General features: G+C 52.0%; 1 protein-coding gene across 6 annotated transcripts in view, besides 3 other annotated features; it reads left to right on the top strand.

The window, feature by feature from the left end:
* LZTS1 (leucine zipper tumor suppressor 1) overlaps positions 1-21,341 on the top strand; it is a 57,799-nt gene extending 36,458 nt beyond the window's left edge. For 4 of the 6 annotated variants that reach the window (NM_021020.5, XM_047421309.1, NM_001362884.2 and 1 more), the window contains exons 2-4: positions 12,191-12,669; positions 13,921-14,724; positions 17,143-21,341. In NM_021020.5, the coding sequence (NP_066300.1) occupies positions 12,325-12,669; positions 13,921-14,724; positions 17,143-17,784 (1,791 nt within the window). In that variant the 5' untranslated portion in view covers positions 12,191-12,324 and the 3' untranslated portion in view covers positions 17,785-21,341. Of the gene's footprint in view, positions 1-13; positions 340-5,665; positions 5,814-12,190; positions 12,670-13,920; positions 14,725-17,142 lie in introns of those variants that run through there. The other 2 variants (XM_011544386.3, XM_011544384.3) reach the window with 2 other exon arrangements.
* Positions 11,991-12,174: a silencer, noted in NCBI's record as "fragment chr8:20112843-20113026 (GRCh37/hg19 assembly coordinates)". NCBI's record gives its function as "represses an EF-1alpha promoter that drives an FKBP-Casp9 reporter gene in an ReSE screen in K562 erythroleukemia cells {active_cell/tissue: K562}" and the evidence as "EXISTENCE:reporter gene assay evidence [ECO:0000049][PMID:32094911]".
* Positions 17,397-17,940: an enhancer, noted in NCBI's record as "H3K4me1 hESC enhancer chr8:20107077-20107620 (GRCh37/hg19 assembly coordinates)". NCBI's record gives its function as "activates a minimal SCP1, AML or CMV promoter by ChIP-STARR-seq in primed H9 embryonic stem cells {active_cell/tissue: H9 hESC(primed)}" and the evidence as "EXISTENCE:reporter gene assay evidence [ECO:0000049][PMID:30033119]".
* Positions 17,941-18,482: an enhancer, noted in NCBI's record as "H3K4me1 hESC enhancer chr8:20106535-20107076 (GRCh37/hg19 assembly coordinates)". NCBI's record gives its function as "activates a minimal SCP1, AML or CMV promoter by ChIP-STARR-seq in primed H9 embryonic stem cells {active_cell/tissue: H9 hESC(primed)}" and the evidence as "EXISTENCE:reporter gene assay evidence [ECO:0000049][PMID:30033119]".

Raw genomic sequence — 21,386 nt, 5'->3', positions numbered from 1 at the left:
CTGTTCTGATGAATGATGACTGATGGTTTCCTCCTAAGGCCCTACAACTGTGCTGGCCACATGTAAGAGTAGGCAGGGCCCAGTAAGTGGGTTGAGTGTCCCAGAGCAGGAGTGAGGCAGCACCAGAATTAGAGCTCTGGTTCCCTGACTGCAGCACCGCCCTCCTACCCCAACTCCCGCACCTCTGCTATCCAGCCCCCAACATGGAGACCAGGTCTACACTCTTGGGCTCTCAGCACCCTGGGGACAAAGAAGCAGGAGGAAAAGAACACAAGGACGATGCCAGAAACCAGGGGACCCGACAGCCCAGACAGCATCCTCCACCAGGGTGCCTGAGAGGTGAGGCGGATAAGAGAGTAGCTGTTTTCTTTTTTTTTCTTTTCTTTTTTTTTTTTTTTGAGATGGAGTCTCACTTTGTTGCCCAGGCTGGAATGCAGTGGTGCGATCTTGGCTCACTGCAACCTCTGCCTCCTGGGTTCAAGTGATTCCTCGGCCTCAGCCTCCTGAGTGGCTGGGACTACAGGTGCGCGCCACCATGCCTGGCTAATTTTTGTATTTTTAGTAGAGACAGGGTTTCACCATGTTGCCCAGGCTGGTCTTGAACTCCTGACCTCTGGTGATCTGCCCACCTTGGCATCCCCAAGTGCTGGGATTACAGGTGTGAGCCACCATGCCTGGCCAAGAGAGTAACTTTCACCTCCTTTCCTACAAAAGAAAAAATTAAAAACCGCTCACATGCTAGGGGCAGAGACAAACTGGCTCTAACTCAGCACATTCCTAAGAAAGCTGCATTTTTGGTTAAATTCATGCTGCTTTTTAAACCCTTTTTGTTTAGGTGTACATAGCTGTCAGATCTCTCCACCAGATCCTCAAAAACAGAAACTCTGCCTTGTATTTTTTTTTTGTCTTGGTCCAAAACGCCGAACAGGATTGGTTGTTGAGGAAGGGGGTGGATGCACTTCCCCCAGGTGACCAGTTGTCTCAAAGTCTACATGATGAATGTTTGAGTGAAAACCAGATTTGGGTTCTGGTAGTATAGACTTGGCTTCGGTATCTGCATATGTGGAGACCTCAGTTTAAGTCACATGCCTTCCCAGAGCCTCAGCTTCCCTTCTGTGAACTAGGTCAGTAGTCCCTGTGCCTCCTTATGAGCTGGTTTTATTAAAAATATTTATTGAGAGCCAGGTGTGATGGCTCACACTGGTAATTCCAGCACTTTGGGCGGCCAAGGCAGGAAGATCACTTGAGCCCAGGAGTTTGAGACCAGCCTAGGCAACATAGCAAGCCCTGCCCTGTCTCTGCACAAAATTTAAAAATTAGACAGTTATGGTGGCATATACCTGTAGTCCCAGCTACTTGGGAGGCAGAGGAAGGAGGATCTCTTGAGCCTTGGAGGTTGAGGTTGCAGTGGGCTACAATTGCACCACTGCACTCCAGCCTGGACAAGAGAGTGAGACTCTGTCTCCAAAAAAAAAAAAAAATTGTTGAGCATCTATTATGTTCTTAGTACTGTGTTTGACCCTGTGTGTGATACAAAGAAGCTTTAGTGCTATCTGCCTTCAAGGGGGTTTAAAGATAAGTGGGGTGACAGACTTTCACCCCTGAAAAGTTAGATGATGCAAGAGCTGTGCAGGCTGAGGGCCAAGGGAGCTGAGCACTGAGGAGCAACTGTGGCCAAGGGAACTTCCTGCCCTCTGCGCAGAGCAGGGAGATGGGAGCCAGGCCTGAAACAGGGCTGTATTCTTTCTTGGAAAGGAAGCTGAGGTTTCATGGTGAGATTCAGGGGTTGTTTTCTCCCCTGCCTTTTTTTTTTTTTTTTTTTTTTTTTTGAGACAGAGTCTCTCTGTTGCCCAGGCTGGAGTGCAGTGGCATGATCATAGCTCATTGCAACCTCCAACTCCTAGCCTGAAGCAATCCTCCCACCTCAGCCTACCAAATAGCTGGGACTATAGGCATTGTGGCACTGTGCCTGGCTCATTTTTTTAAAAAATCTTTTGTAGACATGGCAGGGAGGGTCTCACAGTGTTTCCCAGGCTGGTCTCGAACTCCTGACCTCAAGCCATCCTCCTCCCTTGGCCTCCCAAAGTGTTGGGATTATAGCCATGAGCCACCATGCCTAGCTGAGATGCAAGTTCTTTATGAGAGGCCTTGCTCCTCTTTTTCTCTGCAGTCAACACGATGCCTGCCATGCCGCTACCCTGGGGGACAATGTGAATGAATAATAGTGAGTGTGAAGTGCTCCAGGTTGCACAGATGGAACTGAGCATGAAAAAGCGAAGGCGTGGTTCCCATGGCTAAGATTAGAAATTACCCTGGGCTGGTGATGCCGCCCCAGTGGGAAGGAGAGAGCTACAGGCAGAACTCTGATCCCTGCCCGGCAACCTACCAGCCATTCCTGCAGACAGCTTGCTCCCCGACCTGGGACAGCAGCTGCAGCCTCCTCTGCCTTCCCAGCACTTGAACCCACAGGGTGACCCTCTCTGATTCAAGCAGCACCGTGAGCCCAACAGGCTGAACTCCCATTTGTATCAGACAAACTGACACACACACGTACACACCCCACATCCCCCCTTTCCACACGTGCCCTGGTAGATCAGGGGCTGCTCTTTCTCCCGTTTCCCTCTTCCCCTCAGCTGGAAATGAAACCCAGTTGTCCCTGTCCTGTTAGTCAAATAGACAGAATAAAGGGTTGGAGCCTGGAATTTGTGATATGAGCTTGGCAAATCCCTTTTCCGCTCTGGCCTCAGGGTGTAGTGAAGCATTTGGGGCAGAGGACGGCCGAGGTCCTGCCTGGCTGGTTGTGCCTCGAGTTCCAGGCTGCCTCAGAGCAGGGGGCTCCTCTGTACCTGCAGCAGGTCAACCCCTCTGCTCAGCCAAAGCTCCTTCACCACACCTGGTCACAGGGCTCCTCCCTGGGCCTCATTTCTGCCAGTGCCCCTCTTCTGAGTAACAGCAACTTCTCCTCCCCTCCCCCAGGGTAACACAGCCAACTGTGACTCAGGGGCTCTCTGTCTCACTGCCGCTGCCTTCCTTTGATATCTTGGCTAATAGAGGTCCTAGATGTCGTCTCTCCTGCACAGTTTAAGGAACGGGGCTTTAAAAACTGACAGCTTCTGAGACCCCCAATAAAATAAATCTTAGTAAAGCTTTCATACGTGGAAAAATAATCATATATAAGAGGGTTTTTGCAACAGAATGGAAACATCTAAGTAGGGAATAGTAAAAGAAATGAGGTGGAATATTACACAGCAGGTAAATGGGAAGATCTAGCTCTACATGCTGTCAATATGCATGGATCCGAAGTATCAAATAAAAGGTCGAATAAAACAATTAAGGTTGCAGAATGATATATATGACATGATATGACTTATGTAAAGTAAAAAACATATAGCATTCATAGACGTTAAAATATGTTTAATGATCCAAAAATGTTCCCACTCAAATCATGAGAATTTTCCACCTGGGGAGAGAGATTAGGGGTGGGAGTGGGGAGAAGGAATAGGGAATGGGGACTCCAGCTCTGAGATGTTTGTTTCATTTCTGAAACAAATATGGCAACATTTTAACAATTGTCCATTCTGCACGGGGTACTTGGGTTATTTTTGTACATATTTCCATATCTCAAAAATTTATTAAACACAAGGAAAAGGAAGCTGCCCTGTGGGGTGTCCGATGAGCATCAGGCGAGCCTTCGGGAGACACTGTTCCCTGAGCCCTGCTTGCCAGTCCAGAGGGCCTGCCCCTCTGACCACCCAGACCCCTTCTTCCACCCCGCGCCCCACTTTGAGTGGTCTAAGGTCCGCCCACCTCTTGGGGATTGGAGCGGCTGCAGGCTGGAGTCTGTGTGGAGGGATGGGGCTGCCTTGAGAGGATGCAAGGCATTTGCTTTAGTTTCACTTCCAATGGTCTCTCCAGCTCCTGAAGGGAAGCAGGGAGTCGTTAAAGTGAAGTCAGTAATCCAAGACCACGTTATTTGTTCCTCTCCAAAGTTCATGTTCTATCCTCCAGAGCAGGATGTATGAATGTTTTTAAACTAGGTCAATCAAGGGGCATTAGGGGTCAGGAAACCCTTAGAAGTCAGAGCCAAAATGTTGGAGGAGGGTGCGTTTTTCTGAAGAGGGGGTTGACAGCTCTCATTAAATTCTTAAGAGGTCTCAAAAAAAAAAAAGACTGAAATGAATCCAGACCCTCGTGTTGTGGTTGGAAACTGAGCCCAGAGGGGCCTCGAGGCTCTGCACCAGTGAAGGGAAGACCCACATCTCCCCGCCCAGTCTCCGCCTGCTTCCAAGTTCAAGGCGGTCGTGGGGTAGGCAGTGGCACTAAGACCTCTGTGGCCAGGCCAGCTTCTGCCCTGGGAGTCCAGCCCCGCAGCTCTTCTCAAATCAACAGAGCATCTCAGAGAGCTCTTCTGGGGAATAATAATGAGAAAGAATACTAACAATGACCAGCAATGGGGACTTTTCAAAATAGTTTCTAAGCTCCTACTTCTTTTCCTCTCCCTACTGAAGTCATGTGGCAGGGCCAGTATGGTTGCCTTCATATTACAAGTGAGGAAACTGAGGCATAGAGAGGTTACGTAGCATGTCCACGGTCACACTGAATCAGTGACTCAACTGGGGTTTTAAACTCATATTTTCCTCCTCTTCCCCCCAAACCAAGTTTCTTAACCACAGAACCGTTGACATTTTGGGTGAAATCATTCTTTGTCGTGGGGCTGTCATGTGCATTCATTGTAGGATGTTTAACAGCATTGCTCGCCTCTACTCATGGAATAACAGTAGCACCCCCATCATGACAAGCAAAAATGTCTTGTCTCCAGGTCCTGCCAAATTACCCCCATTTGAGAACTGCTGCTCTGACACCAAGCCCAAGTTCATACAGACCTCAGCACCTTTCTTTGCACATGCTGTTCCCGATAAGGGCATCATTTTACAAAACCACTTTATCAGGCTGGCTCTTCTCGAATGTCATCTTCTCAGAAGCTTTCCTGGCCACTCCATCTAAAGTAGTAGACACACATGCACACGTATACACACACACGTTCACACATGCACACACAAAGACGTGCACACATGAACACACACTCACACACCTGTCCTCCCTGTCTCTCTGGCTTTTATCTACCATTCACTAAATATACTCCTTCCTTCTCCCCTCCCCTCTTCCCCACCTGATCCTCTACATTTTGCACAGTACTTAGCCCATGTCAGATGCTGAATAAATATTTGTTGAAGAAATGACTAAATGTTCCCCCACAGTGCAGCCCCATCAGCTCAGTCCTGCCAACAGGCTACTTGGCACAGCAGTTATTCAGGACACACTTGGCTGGGTGGGCTTGGGGAGTGGCCAGCACAACACTTTGCATCGTTGTGGGCCTGCAAAGGGCAAAAGTTCTGGGGGGGAATGGATGGGGTAAAGAGGGGCAAGTGCAGACTGCAGAGATGCCAGAAGCACAGCACAGCCGTGAGCTCACCGCTGAGTGCTGGTGGGCTTTCCCCCTGCTCTTTGCAGCTTAGGGGAGGAGGTGTGGGACGGAGAGGGGGAGAAGGAGGGAAGGATGTCAGGGAGCAGGAGGGGAAATAACAGAAGCTGAGTGGGAGGGAGGAGGCAGGAGGCGGGGTGGCTGGAGGCTGAACATCTCCGGCTGGGGGAGTGACCCCTGCTCACTGCATGGCGGCAGAGGAGGAGGAGGGCGTGTGTGAATCCTCCACTTCCTTTCCCAGCCAGAACCCGGGACTTGGCGTGGGCCAAGGCATAGCTGCTTCAACTCATGGGAAGCCAGACTGTTGGTTTGGGATGAGACGATGAGTCAGGTTAGTTCACATCTCTCTGCATCCAGAAAGACACTTTGCAACTCCATGCCTCTCTCTCCACATTCCAGAAAGGGACCATCAGAGGCAGGTGTCACTTTGCCTTGAGCCTTGGTTTCCTTTGGGAGGGAGAATGCAGAAGGGGGCTGGGGATGGGGCAGCTCAGGTGCTCCCACTACTTTTGAGTAGAAGCCGCTCAAAAGTGAGGGCTTTCTGCAATATCCCGGGCCCCTCCCCGTCCTGGTGGAGCAGCCATCCACAGTGCAGGTGGGCTAGTGGAGGGGAGGTCATGTCAGGGAGGGGTGTGAGGGCTGGGACTGGTCCTGGGGCCAGATTCTGAGAAGGGTAGGCTGGATGGTCCCAGCTGCTTTGGGTTTCTTTTCTCTTTTTCTCTCTTCTCTTAAGGTCTAAAGTCCAACTCTAGCTGGATTCCTTCTGTAGGAGCTCACGTAGCATGCCATGTGGAGTGTGAGGCTCTGTGGTTCCTTTACCTTCTCTCCATCCTTCTTCCCTCCTCCTGTCCCCTTCCTGAATCCCCAACATCTATGTGATTTCTTATTTTCACCCCAAATACGTGCTCCCAGTCAGTAGGAATTTGTTTCCCAGAAATAAAAATGTGTCTGTTGACCCTGTCCTTATGGAGGGCAGAGACAGCAGGTTGGACGGGGGCAGGTGAGAAGATGGATTTGGGAACCAGGATGGAACACAGCCGAGTTTTGTGTAATGCTCTCTCCAAGTTGACAGTGAAACAAGTCTAGACACTTAAAGGTGATTAGCTTAGCTTCAAGTGGATCCCAAACTCTCCTCAAACTTCAAAGCTCCTCTGTGTGTCAAGACCTGGGGAGTGGCCAGCTGGGTATCGGGGCTAAGGGATAGGAATGCTCTCAGGAGGACTGGAGGTGGCCATTCTTCAGTCACCCCTCTCCTGGGCTCCTGGCATTGTCCATCTTCTACCTCTTGACCCTCTAGGATGCAGCACAGGGCTGCTGCCCAGGTGAATGACACAGCTTCTGAGTGCCTACAATCTTGTTGGCATTGGCCCAAAAGGGAAATGAAGCTCGGCTAGAGAAGTCTGCTTTTGATTCCTCCTCTAGGCTTCCTCTTCCCTAACCCAGGAAGCTCATTTTGCTATCTGGGACAGAAACCCTAACATCTCTGGGCCTCACCTACAGTCCCCAATTGCAGCGTGCGATTTTAGCATGGAGATTGTGGCATTTGGGCCTGGGTTCGAATCCCACCTCTGTCACTGGTCACTGAGTGGCCAGGGCCACGGCATCCCACCTTGTGAGTCTGTGCCTTAGCCTCCCTTTTTTTGTTCTAGGAGCTCTAGATACAAAAACCTTTACTCTCAGATTCTGGTAGAGATACACACAATAAACCCTAAATTTGCAGTGAGCTGAGATTATGCCACTGCACTCCAGCCTGGGTGACAGAGTGAGACTCTGTCTCAATTAAAAATCAATCAGTCAATCAATCATCAATAAAATAAGATATGACTGGGTGTGGTGGCTCACACCTGTAATCCCAGTGCTTTGGGAGGCCAAGGTGGGAGGATAGCTTGAGGTCAGGAGTTTAAGACCAGCATGGGCAACACAGCGAGACCCCTGTCTCTACAAAAGAATTATTTAATTAGCCAGGAGTAATGGTATGTGCCGTCATCCCATCTACTCTGGGGCTAAGGTGGGAAGATCACTTGAGCCCAGCAGCTGGAGGCTGCAGTGAGCTGTGATCACTGTTACCTACTGCAGTCCAGCTTGGATGACAGAATGAGACTCTGTTTCTAAAATTTAAAAATAAATAAAAAATAATAAGATTAGTACAGGTGAGAGCAAGCCTTACACAGGGAATAAACAGGTTGGTAGAAAGTAATCGGGGAGGGATGCAAGGGTTTCAAGATTAACTGGAGAAAGCCACCTTGCAGACATGAGACTCAAGTTGAGAACTAGAAAATGAGAAAGGCTGATGTATGTGAAGAGCCCAAGGAGGAGAATTCCAGGCAGGGGAAGCAGCAGCAAGTGCAGAGTCTCCTGGATGGGTCAAGACTTCGTATGTTCACCCACCAGGAAAGAGATGAGTGTGTCTGTCCCTGGGACATGGCGGGACAAGGTGAGGAGTCCGCATTGTACTCTAACACAGTGGGAAGACTGGAAGGGTTCCCATTAGGAAGTGCTATGACCTGGACGCTTCAGATGTGTCTGATGAACAGACTGGGGAAAGACATTGGGAGGCTCCTTCAAGGCCCAGGTGAGAGGAGATGGAGGTGAGAGGAGATGGATGAGAACCATAAACAGATTCATTTAGCACCGATGCACTGATACTGTCAATAGCCTCCAGCGGTGTCATAGGCTTGAAGGCAACACATATCGTGCACACATCTGTAGATCGCCTACTACATGCCAGGCCTTGTATTTTCCTTCTGTTTGTTTCGGCTCCCTAATGTTCCTATTTAATATTAATATTTTCAGTTTGTAAATGAAGAAACCTCAGAGAGATTGATTTTCAAATCAAACTCCTGCCGATGCCACAGCTGATGGTCTGGTCTGTACAGCCCTGCAGGTACAGCTGCTCGGCAATGTGTATTGCATGGCAAAAAAAGGAGGAGCTGAGCATATTGCGCAGAGCACGGGAGGGTCTTTTGGCCCAAAATGACACCCCTGCATGTGGACCAGAGTAGTATTTTCGCCCCATAGGAACTAGAGGTGTTAGCTAAGCTAGGGATGGATGACCTAGGGGGATGAAAACACATTTTGTCAGTGTCAAGTTTATATCAGCAGAGCCACCCTGTGCTCCTAAGTCACACCTCGCAGGAATGGGAGGCAGAAAGGTTGCATTTAGAAGGAAAGGATTAGCTCTGGAAAGTGAGTTTGGACATTGAGGCTCCCCAGATCCATAGGGATGATGGATGTTGGCAAGGACAATGGTCACAATATAAGTAACAGATACCGATAACACTGCCTAGCATTTATTGAGTGCCCACTATGTACTAAGTATTGAGTAAATGTTCCAGAGCTGTTATCTTATGGTGGTATTTCTTAAATTTCTCATAACGATCCTATGAGGTAGGCTGCTTCACTGTATTTCCTCGAGTATACAAAGCCATCAATTCAATAAAAGCTTTTCACATCAAAACATATTAAACTTACACAACGAAGTTTTGTTGTGTCATGCTTTTCCTAACAAAATATAGAACATATTCATAACATAACCTCTTTATTCTTCAGGATGATAACGCAAGTTTGAATCGAAGCCTAGATATTCAGAGTCACAGAGTCTCCATGCACAACTGCTAATTGTAAAAAATATATATATAATAAAATTAAAATTAAAAAACAGAGTCAGAAAGTTTCTGGCTCCCTTTCAGCTGTGCCCATGCAGTTCTCCATGTCCCACCTGGGATTTCTTTAGCCCCTTTAGGATGGATGGTATAATTTAGAGCTCAGCGAAGAACAGAGGCTCCTTCCACATCTCCTGTTTTATTAAACTTGTGGCTTTCCCCTTCTTAATTGGATATCTGTCTTTTGACTAAGAAATACTTCACAGTGCATGACAATCACCAACCTTTCCTAGCTTTGAAAATTGTGTGATCTAAACTTAGAGATTTGCCTGAATCTGCACATGTGCTGGCACTGACATCCCAATTTCTCCTGTCTGGTGACTGACAAGGTTGTTATTGTTTAAGCATTGATTATTAGATGCTATCCTATTACTTTAAAAAAAAAATGTGCCCAGTCCGGTGGCTCACGCCTATAATCCCGGCACTTTGGGAGGCCTAGGCAGGTGGATCACCTGAGGTCAGGAGTTCGAGACCAGCCTGGCCAACATGGGAAAACCCCATCTCTACTAAAAATACAAAGATTAGCCAGCCAGTCATGGTGGTGCTCACCTGTAATCCCAGCTATGTGGGAGACTGAGGTGGGAGAATCATTTGAACCCGCGAGGTGGAGGTTGCAGTGAGCCAAGATCATGCCACTGCACTCCAGCCTGGGCAACAGAGTGAGACTCTATCTCAAAAAAAAAAAAAAAAAAAGTTTAAGGGTGTCTTAGAATTAGTTTGTAACACTGAAGGTTAAAGATATTAAACAGTTTACCTTCCATGTCATAGCTGGCAGGTGATGTAACTAGAATGCACACCAAGTCGGCTGGGTACTTCTCAACATTAAGGCTGTAATGACTTTCTCCTTCTTTCTCTCTTGAATCTTCTCAATGAGGCCTTCCTTCCACCATTCCTCCAAAACTGCTCTTGTCAAGGTTACCAAAGATCTCCACATGGCCAAATGCATTGACTAATTCTCAATTGTTATCTTACTTTCAGCAGCACTTGACAACTTTTTTTTTTGAGACAGGAACTCAGTCTGTTGCCCAGGCTGGAGTGCAGTGGCGTGATCTCAGCTCACTGCAACCTCCGCCTCCTGGGTTCAAGCTATTCTCATGCCTCAGCTTCCTCAGTAGCTGGGACTACAGGTGCGTGCCACCATGCCCAATTTGCCTGGCTAATTTTTTATATTTTTAGTAGAGACGGGGTTCCACCATGTTAGCCAGGCTGGTTTCAAACCCTTGACCTCAAGTGATCTGCCCACCTTGGCCTCCCAAAGTGCTGGGATTACAGGCTTGAGCCATTGCGCCTGGCCATTTGACACCATTTTTAGGAAACAATTTCTTGACTTGGCTTTCTTAGGTCTTCTATATCGACATCACCCTGAAAACCTTCTCTGCTGCTCTTTTTCACTTCTCCTAACCTGCCTGACCTCCAGATGCCGAGTGCTCCATGTTAACCATCCTCAGGCCTCTCTTGTCTTTCTGCATCCGCTCTTTGGTGACCCCATCTAGTCTCATAGCCACTTCCACACTCCCAGCTCTGACAAGTGCATCTGCAGCTCCCAGCAGCTGCCCACTCACCCTCCTGCCTACTCTCCATCACTCCCTGGATGCCAAATAGGCTTTGCAAACTGAATGTCTTCAACCAAACTCCTCTCTTTGGCATTGTCCCTGACTCCTCTCTTTCGCTCACTCCCTACATCTGATCCTTTAGCAAGTCCTGTCAGCTCAACCTCAAAATTACATTGAAAACTGTTTTTTAGAGACAGGGTCTCACTGTGTTGCCCAGGCTGGTCTTGAACTCCTGGCCTCAAGTGATCCTCCTGCCTTGGCCTCCCAAAATGCTGGGATTACAGACGTGAGCCACCACCACATCTAAATCCACAACTACCACCCTAGACTATTAGCCTGTAATTGGCCACCACTTCTATCCCCCGTCTCCTCAATAAGCTTCTTCCCCACCCGGAAGCCAGAGTGACCTTCCCCAACCTAAGGCAGATCAAGGTGTCAGCTGCTTAAAGCCATCCAGGGGCTCCTTGTCTCAACCCAAGCAAAGCCAGAGCTCTTTGAGCTGCACAGCCTCCTTGTTCTCTGATGTCTGCTGGCTCCTGGTTTCTGTTTCTCCTTCCCAGCCTTGCTAATTGTTCTCCAGCCAGGCTGCTTCCCATGTGGGTCTCACACAGCCAAGCCCCCTCTGCCTCAGGGACTCAGGCTTTTATACTTGGGGTTTCTTCTGGTACCCCTCTCCCCCTAGATTTTCATATGACTTGCACCTCATTTTCTTTTCTTCTTCTTCTTTTTTTTTTTTTTTTTTTTTTTTGAGTCAGGCCCAGGCTGGAGTGCAGTGGCACAATTGTGGCTCACTGCAGCCTTGATCCCCGGGGCTCAGACGATTCTCCCACCTCACCCTCCCAAGTAGCTGGGATTACAGGTGTGCACCACTACGCCCGGCTAATTTTTGTATTTTTAGTAGAAATGGGGTTTCTCTAAGTTGCACAGGCTGGTCTCGAACTCCTGGACTCAAGCAATCTGCCCACCTCAGCCTCCCAGAGTGCTGGGATTACAGGTGTGAACCATCATGCCTGGCTGCCCCCTCATTTTCTTGAAGCCTTTTAAAATGCTACCCTAACAAAAGAAGACCTTCCTGCATAAAACAGCCACCTCCCAGAATTCTGTTCTGTCCTCTCTGCTCCAGTTTCCCCCGCAGCACTGGTACCCGCAGCACTGGTACCCGCAGCACTGGTACCACTTGCTATAGTATACATTGGTTTGCTTCTGGCCTCTCCACACCACTGTAACCCTAAGTTCCAGGAATGCAGGGACTGTGACTGTTTTAGTCACTTGCTGGGTCCCGAGTGTTTAGAGTAGAGGCTTGCATGAAGTGGGCTCCCAGTGAATGTTTGTTGAATTATCAGACAAAGGAAGAAGGAACGGAGCACCCGGTGGTGGAGACAGTGCTGGGCTCTGACATGTGTTTCTCTACTGCCCAGATCTGGAAGTCGGAATCAGCACTGTGCTGTGACCACTCCCACCCACGCTGACTTCTGTCTTGTGTCTTCTTCCAGGTCTACGGCTCTCGCAGGCTCTGTGAGGGCTTTGCTATGACCTCAGTCCCCTCACGGAGCCACGACTGCCCCTTGCTGCCACAGCCTTTCCAAGACCCTGCCCGGCCCTGCCCCATCCTCAGCCCCGAGTCACCATGGGCAGCGTCAGTAGCCTCATCTCCGGCCACAGCTTCCACAGCAAGCACTGCCGGGCTTCGCAGTACAAGCTGCGCAAGTCCTCCCACCTCAAGAAGCTCAACCGGTATTCCGACGGGCTGCTGAGGTTTGGCTTCTCCCAGGACTCCGGTCACGGCAAGTCCAGCTCCAAAATGGGCAAGAGCGAAGACTTCTTCTACATCAAGGTCAGCCAGAAAGCCCGGGGCTCCCATCACCCAGATTACACGGCACTGTCCAGCGGGGATTTAGGGGGCCAGGCTGGGGTGGACTTTGACCCGTCCACACCCCCCAAGCTCATGCCCTTCTCCAATCAGCTAGAAATGGTAAGCGGGGGTCGCTGGCAAGGGTAAGTGGGTTGGAAACGCAGGAGAAAGCAAAATGGGGGTGGAGAGCCTGGGGGTTCAGGGGGAGTGGTGACCTGAGCATTCAGACTCCTCAAAACCAGAGCGGCAGGGGTGCCGGCGGAAGCCTGTGGCCACACCGCAGAGATCAAACGTTTCACAAAGGAATTAGAGCATCGCTCAGTCCCCCTGAAGCAGAAGTCTTGGGTCAGGCCATAAGCAAAGAGCACAGGGGATATGTGAGCTTTCTGGAGTCCCACTGAAATGTAGCTGGATTGTCAACGTAGGATCCAGGCGTTTGCCAAGCCTCGGGAAGGAGAGGGAGCCCTGTTCTCATCTGGAAGCACAGATGAAGAGGATGCAGGCCGGGAGTTAACCGCTTCTCTCCCCGGGAGACTCGTGGGGGTGGGTGCGGTCTTCTCATTTGCTGCCCTGGTGTGCATTAGCTCCTTGTTCAAGCTGCGCCTGGGGGCATCTTTGAATACAGGCTGGAGTTTTGTCATCCATTTACCAGAGATTAGGGCAAAGGAGGCCCAGGCACTGAGAAATCCAGCCCTCACACCAGCTCAAGCCCTCGTGCGTCCCACGAGTGGACACTGAAATCAATTTTCCTATTCAGTCCTCTGCCCCTTGCCCTGGGGAAATGAATCCCCGGCTTTGATTTACTAGGAAAGAGCCTCTTATGTTTGCATAGAGCATTCAGCTTTTCAAATTAAGGGGCTTGTAAACTGTGAAGCACTCTACCAGGGAAAATTACAGTTTTAAAAAAGGATCGTGATTTGGAGTGAGCCTCCCAACCCTGTAAGGAGGCCAGGTCCGTGTCCTTGCTCCAGGCTTAATGGAAGAGGCAGTGAACAGGAAGAAGGGATGGACCTAAAGAGGGACAGCAAGCTCGGCCAGCCTGATGCCCTAACTTGCCCCACACAGAGACCTAGAGCAGGAGCCTCAAGATGGTATTTATCACCTCGGGAGGGCTGGGGCAAGCTGGTGGCAGGTTGCTATTTCATAGAACAAAGTGCCCAAGTCGCCATTAGGGTTTTTCCTTCCTAAGAGAGATGACATTCAGCTGCTTCAAAGCAACAGGCAAGGTCTGCTGAGACAATTGACCAAGAGGGGTGCTGCGTGCGCTCAGAGAGCCCAGACTGGCTCAAGGTCGGCACGCGTGCCTGGGGAGGGAGGGTGCAATGCGCGCGCAGGGGAGGCATGAGTCACCGCGGTCCTTTTCCTCTACAGGGCTCCGAGAAGGGTGCAGTGAGGCCCACAGCCTTCAAGCCTGTGCTGCCACGGTCAGGAGCCATCCTGCACTCCTCCCCGGAGAGTGCCAGCCACCAGCTGCACCCCGCCCCTCCAGACAAGCCCAAGGAGCAGGAGCTGAAGCCTGGCCTGTGCTCTGGGGCGCTGTCAGACTCCGGCCGGAACTCCATGTCCAGCCTGCCCACACACAGCACCAGCAGCAGCTACCAGCTGGACCCGCTGGTCACACCCGTGGGACCCACAAGCCGTTTTGGGGGCTCCGCCCACAACATCACCCAGGGCATCGTCCTCCAGGACAGCAACATGATGAGCCTGAAGGCTCTGTCCTTCTCCGACGGAGGTAGCAAGCTGGGCCACTCGAACAAGGCAGACAAGGGCCCCTCGTGTGTCCGCTCCCCCATCTCCACGGACGAGTGCAGCATCCAGGAGCTGGAGCAGAAGCTGTTGGAGAGGGAGGGCGCCCTCCAGAAGCTGCAGCGCAGCTTTGAGGAGAAGGAGCTTGCCTCCAGCCTGGCCTACGAGGAGCGGCCGCGGCGCTGCAGGGACGAGCTGGAGGGCCCGGAGCCCAAAGGCGGCAACAAGCTCAAGCAGGCCTCGCAGAAGAGCCAGCGCGCGCAGCAGGTCCTGCACCTGCAGGTACTGCAGCTTCAGCAGGAGAAGCGGCAGCTCCGGCAGGAGCTCGAGAGCCTCATGAAGGAGCAGGACCTGCTGGAGACCAAGCTCAGGTCCTACGAGAGGGAGAAGACCAGCTTCGGCCCCGCGCTGGAGGAGACCCAGTGGGAGGTGAGGCCACACAGGGCTCATGGGTTTGGGTGGTCAGCGGTTTGGCGCCAGTACCCCCCTCTCCTTCTGGTGCCGGCCAATAGCGTGCAAACACAGACCGCGCAGGCAAGCGGGGCTAATGTGCTGGCTTTATCACCCAAAGAAGGGGCTCCCTGCAAACCATGTTGGGGGATCGACTTACATCTGAGCTTCCTCCTGTCCCCACCATCACCCTCATGGCTCCTAGATTTCAGTTTCCCAAGTGAGCCATTAAATCATGAAGCCGGAAGCCAGATGACCAAGGCCCAGCCAGGCTGTGGGCTGACCTCCCTTCCATCAGCTCCCAGGAGGCTCAGAAGAAGAACAAGCCGTGCCTGAGTTCAGGCGGGGCCAGGGGCCCAAGAGAGCACAGAATGCATTTGTTGCTTTGGAGGGAGGGACTGCACCCACTAGTAAGAGGGACCCTATTGGTGGCAGGTTTCAGTGATGGAAGTGGCCACTCCTTGCTGAAGTGTAAGTGGAACTTCTATTTGGTGAGCTGAGATGGAAACCTAGGAGAGGAAGTAAAGAGTCCCCCACTCACACACTTACACACTCACACACACTCACTCACCCGGTCACACGTGGAAATGAGGCATCTGTACCTGACCGTGCTGGAGAACCCCATAACCTCTGCATCTATTAGTGGGAAAGCAGCTTTTCTCACCAGCCTGGTGGTCTGGATGACTCATGGAGTTCAAGCCCATCGTTGAGGCTCTTTACATGCTCGCACCCAGCTTGGTCTGTCCACGTGCCTGCCTCACCCCCAGTTCAGAGTCCAACTCTCAGTCTACACGCAAACCCCTGGCTATGTGCAAGTCAACAACCAGTGGTTTAACTTGCCCACTGCTGGCAGCTGTATCACCCCCATTTAACACCAATGGTATTGGTTTTGGTGTCAGCCTGATTTCCGTCATCGACGTTTATGCCCACATCCTCTGACCTCACCCCTGCATGCACCCAGCCCTCCTCTCTCCTGTCTACTGGAGTAAAGACTACCTCACAAATTCACTGCTGTACCCAGTGACTAGTATCATGCTGGCTTGGATGCAGAGCCCAATCCACATCTGTCAAACGAGGAATCATTGTCTTCTCCTCTTGCTCTTCTTCTCTATTTCCACCCCTATCCCCCATCAAAATTTGGCCAAGAGCAATGATGAAAACCGAAGCCACAGGTTAGACCCATGTGTCTCTGGATCTTGGCCATCTGGGGTCATGGGAGACCAAGGCCAGTCTGGCTGAATCTTAAGAGTGAATGAAGTCCAGAGCATGTGGCTCTACAGAATGGATTCTTGGAACTAGCCTGGAAGCCACCTTCACATTTCCTTTCACAGTAGAAATTTCCCCTTGCCCTCAGTGAAACACTGCACAGTCCTGGAGAAAATCCGACCCTACCCAGGATGCGTGCTTGGGACCAAGAATTTCATTCCAAGGCCAACCCTGTATTCATGCCACGAAGGGAGTGACACAGTCATGGCTGAGGCATGGGCCTGGCTTTGAACCTCAGCTTGACCACTTATGATCCAGGTGATTGTAAATACATTAGCCATGGTGGCAATGGGGTATAGTGATTAAACTGTTGGGATCAAATCTCTACTCTTATACTTTATATTTTATATATATATATATATATATATATATATATATATATATATATATATATATTAGCCCTCAGGCTGGTCACTTCACCAGCTATTTGCTATCATAACCTCTCTGTGCCTCAGTTTCATTGATGTAAATTGAGGACTACTAATAGTACCTACTTCATCGGGTTGTAAGGAATAGATGAGCAAATGTATGGCTTGGCACTTAATAACACTACAAATTATTAGTGAAAGTATGTTTATAATAATATACTTCTGTGTGGCTAGGCGTGGTGGCTCACGCCTGCAATCCCAGCACTTTGGGAGGCAGAGGCAGGCAGAGCACTTGAGGTCAGGAATTCGAGATCAGCCTGGCCAACATGAGGAAACCCCGTCTCTACTAAAAATACAAAAATCAGCCAGGCATGGTGGCAGGTGTCTGTAATCCCAGCTACTTGGGAGGCTGAGGCAGGAGAATCAGAGGGGAGGCGGAGGTTGCAGTGAGCCAAGATCACGCCACTACACCCCAGCCTAGGTGACAAAGCGAGACTTCTCAAATAATAACAATAATAATATACTATGTGTCATTATACATGATTATTATTATTTTATCATTTTACTATATAGCCTAGCTCGATAACCTGGGGAAAAGGTCACAGCAATGTTCAGCTTACTTTCAGATTGGACAAAGGCTGGAATGCCTAACACCGGGCCACCGCATCCGGAGTGGCTTGGTTATTTTAGGCAGCTGAGCTGTCACTTCCCTGGGTAAGGACACTCACCTCTTGGCACTCTGTCTCCACCCCACCCTCGGCAGGTGTGCCAGAAGTCAGGCGAGATCTCCCTCCTGAAGCAGCAGCTGAAGGAGTCCCAGACGGAGGTGAACGCCAAGGCTAGCGAGATCCTGGGTCTCAAGGCACAGCTGAAGGACACGCGGGGCAAGCTGGAGGGCCTGGAGCTGAGGACCCAGGACCTGGAGGGCGCCCTGCGCACCAAGGGCCTGGAGCTGGAGGTCTGTGAGAATGAGCTGCAGCGCAAGAAGAACGAGGCGGAGCTGCTGCGGGAGAAGGTGAACCTGCTGGAGCAGGAGCTGCAGGAGCTGCGGGCCCAGGCCGCCCTGGCCCGCGACATGGGGCCGCCCACCTTCCCCGAGGACGTCCCTGCCCTGCAGCGGGAGCTGGAGCGGCTGCGGGCCGAGCTGCGGGAGGAGCGGCAAGGCCATGACCAGATGTCCTCGGGCTTCCAGCATGAGCGGCTCGTGTGGAAGGAGGAGAAGGAGAAGGTGATTCAGTACCAGAAACAGCTGCAGCAGAGCTACGTGGCCATGTACCAGCGGAACCAGCGCCTGGAGAAGGCCCTGCAGCAGCTGGCACGTGGGGACAGCGCCGGGGAGCCCTTGGAGGTTGACCTGGAAGGGGCTGACATCCCCTACGAGGACATCATAGCCACTGAGATCTGAGGGGCTGCCTGGGAAGGCGAGTCTGGGGACCTGGCACTGGGAGGCAGGGCTCTCCCGTGCATCCCCCCTGCTCAGCAATTCAGACCCCTCTGAGAGACGCCACTCCCTGGGACACAGACCCAGGACCCCCGAGGGGAGGGCAGGATGGCCTTTCCTTCCCTCTCTGATGTCCCAGTGCTCACCAGCCCTGCAGCCCACCAGACGTCAGGCCCTGACTCCTCTGGCTTTCCCAGGAGATGGGTCCAGGGGTCTGTCTGCTTTGGTTAAGGGCTCCCTAAACTTTGGCCTTTGTTCGAAATAGATATCCTCTCCCCCTCCTCCAGGGAAGGTGGCCACAGCAAGTACAGCGGCTCCCCTCTGCTTCTCATCCCAACCTCTTTTTCCTCCTGGACACATTGGAATGCCTTGGAAATAGAAAGAAGCCATATATGACCAGAAGCCTTGGAACCAGCCCCATCAGAACCTGAGCTATTTTCCTCTGGCCGCAGAGGTGTAGGGGTGGAATGAGCCGCGGGGAAGCTGGCTTTGAAACCTCAGGGCTGTCCCAGCCCCGGCAAGCCACAGGAAGGAGGGGAGAGACAGGCAGCCCAGCAGTGTGGAGACCCTGCCACAGCCAGAGGAGGGCAGAGGGAGAATCCAAGGGTTGAGAGCCAGTGGCGGGTGATGGCCAGCCCCTGGGGCCCAGCCCCTGTTTACTGGTTCTTGCAAATGGGAGCTGAGCAGCCTCTGGACAGCCAGTGACCTTTGACCTCGGTGACCACTCTTCTTTAAGCCATAGACCCTGAGGCCCTGGGCTGGGTGCTGGGAAGGGAGGGTTGAAACCACCGTGAACCAGAGGGTGTGGCTTTCCAGGCACCCTCAGGGAGCCTCCCCATCTGTCCAGCTGGGGCCAGAGGCTGGGAGTCCCTACCTGCTTCACGTTGGCCGGCGGCTACTCTGGAATGTTTTTCCCTCCCCAGAATCAAGCTTTTGCTTGATCCAGAAGAGCCCATATCACTAAGATGGCATATATGTGATCTGGGCATTTTCCTCCTCTGCCTACAGCCAGGTTTAGCGGCAAACCTTTCCCCCTTAGCACCTTCAGGGCTGAGTTCTGGGTTTCTAGAGGTCAGGACGGCTCCTCAGAGCGCCAGGAAGCCAGAGCCCCAAGCAGGACGAAAAAGAGGCATACACACAGCAGTGTGAATAGCCTGGCCACCAGCCATCCTCCCTCCACCTCAAGACCCCCATTTGTCCCAGACTAAAGGATCCAGAGAGCAGCTCCCTTTCTCAGGAGCTTGGGCAGTGCCCCAGGGAGTCCAGGGTTTCTCTGCAGATGTGCGGAGCGGGAGGCGGTGGTAGAGAGAGATAAAAGGTGGAGTTTCTCTGTTGTTTGGTTCAGGGATTTTATTTTTAATTTTATGAGACAGGGTCTTGCTCTGTCCCCCAGGCTGGAGTGCAGTGGCATGATCATAGCTCACTGCAGCCTCATACTCCTGGGCTCAAGCAATCCTCCTGCCTCAGCCTTCCAACTAGCTGGGACTACAGGTGCGCGCCACCGTGCCTGGCTAACTTTTCATTTTTTTTGTAGGGACGGGGTCTCGTTTTGTTGCCAAAGCTGGTCTCAAACTTGTGGCCTCAAGCAATCCACCTGCCTTGGCCTCCCAAAGTGCTGAGATTGCAGATGTGAGCCACCGTGCCTGGCCAGATTTTTCTTTTATTCTTCTTTCTTTTTCTTTTTTGCTTTCTTGTCTTTTCAGAAGCAAGCCAGACCTAGCAGGCTGTTCCATGTTCTATTTTTGACTGTAGCCACAGCTGCTGTTCTCAGGACAGCATCCCTTCCCACATGCCTGCGCCTGCTGCCTGCTGAGATGAGGAGGGGAGCGTCTGGGAACTTGCGAGTCCAAGGCCAGTCCCCATTTCTGCCTCGCTCACCGCTGGCCCTTAGAGACCCCGAGGTAGGGGTGGGGAGATGCTTCTCTCCTTGCCCCCCGCCCTCATGGGTCCTAGCCCTTCCCTGAGTGCGGGCTGAGGCCAGAGTCACCTTTTCTGTGGCTGGCTCTACCTTCCTGTCCCTGAGGTTAAACGGTGCCCATCCTGCCATCCTCAAACGACAGAGGAGCTTTTCTGGAATTTCAAACCATTGCTCTTAGTCCCAAGCTAGGCTTAAACCTGGAATCTACAAGCCAAAAGTCCCTCCCTGCCTGAGGGCAGTACCCTCCATTGGGCACAGTCCAGACCCAAGTCAAAGATGCCCCATTCCTTGCGCCTCAGCCCTCAGTTCCTTCATTTCCACCAGGCCGTGCCTTGTTTGAGTTTTTCCTCCCAGTGAGACTGCCCCACGGAGACAGAGGAAAGGGCTGGCTCCCCCTCCCCAGGCTGGAGACCCCCCCCCAACTCCAGGAAAGAGCAGTCAGAGTCCAGTGCTCTGCCTCAGACGTTGCCTGAGAAGAAGTGGCTGCCACACCCAGGGGAAGGCCCTGAGGCGGAGGCTGTGCTCCGCCATGGTGTCCCGGTACCTTCCATACACAGAGGAGTGCAGCCTTCTCCATATCTCCATGGCCCTGTCCCAGGCCGGCCCAGATGTGTCCCCCCCAGGCCTTGTCCTACGTCCAAGGTGGCAGATGTCTTCCCTGGGCTGCCACCAGCCCCCGCCCCAGAGTGGCCCACCGTGGCACTAGAATGCAAGTATCCTGCGACCTTGCAACCTCACCTTCCTGTGGGTGTTCTTTCCTGCCCTGTCCAAAAGCGCCCTCACTATTCTTGGACCATGCCAGATTCTGCCTCTCTGGAAAGAGGCTCTGGACAGCAGAAGCCTCCAAGCACAGAGCCTGGCCCCAGGCCCCAGACAGGGTGGGCTTCCTGCCCTTCCCTCTGGGCACGCCTGCTGGCCGACCCACTGACCCACTCGGATGGACCAACCTGCTCTGTCCCCAAAGGACGCCTGCAGGAGAGAGCAGCACTCCGCATCACCTCACCAAGGATCGGACTCTGCCCCTGGACCTGGGAACGACTGGACTGTCACGGGGTTCCCTCCTAGCTCTCCCAGTGAACTCCTGCCAGGCACACACAGCCCCTATAGCACTGAGCTCACATGGGACTGGGATATGGGGGCATCTCTTCCCCAGAGAGGCACTCAGTGAGCCTCCTGTGCCTGGCCCCAGCCTGGGCCATCTCTTAGGTGAGACAGTTGCCCGAAACTAAGCCAGGCCTGGCTGGAGGAGCAGCAGCTTGGGGAGAGGGATTTCCCTGCAGACCTCAAGCCATCATGCGGTGGGTGCTGCCATGACAGAGGCTGCACCCCTGGGCCAGCGGGGCTGCTCACCCACCTCTTGTGCAAGGTGGCCTTTGTGCTGCGCCTGCAGGCAGAGCTGGAGCCCCCAGCAGAGGCAGGCTGGGACGGACCAGCATCTGGAAGATGTACATAGTTATTTTTCTCTTTGTGGTTTCTTGTTTGGTTTGGTTTGCTTTTGACAGCTTCATTTTATTTTTGACGTCACTTTTTGGCCATGTAAACTATTTGTGGCAATTTTATGTTTTTATTTATGAATAAAGAATGCCATTTCTCACGCCCTCTAGAGCCACGTGTATCTGCCCTCCTCTCCCCTCGCTGCGGTGTGGCA

Source organism: Homo sapiens, chromosome 8 (assembly GCF_000001405.40).
Source record: "Homo sapiens chromosome 8, GRCh38.p14 Primary Assembly".
In the NCBI taxonomy this organism is placed as follows: domain Eukaryota; kingdom Metazoa; phylum Chordata; class Mammalia; order Primates; family Hominidae; genus Homo; species Homo sapiens.
This window is presented reverse-complemented; position numbering and strand designations above follow the sequence as displayed.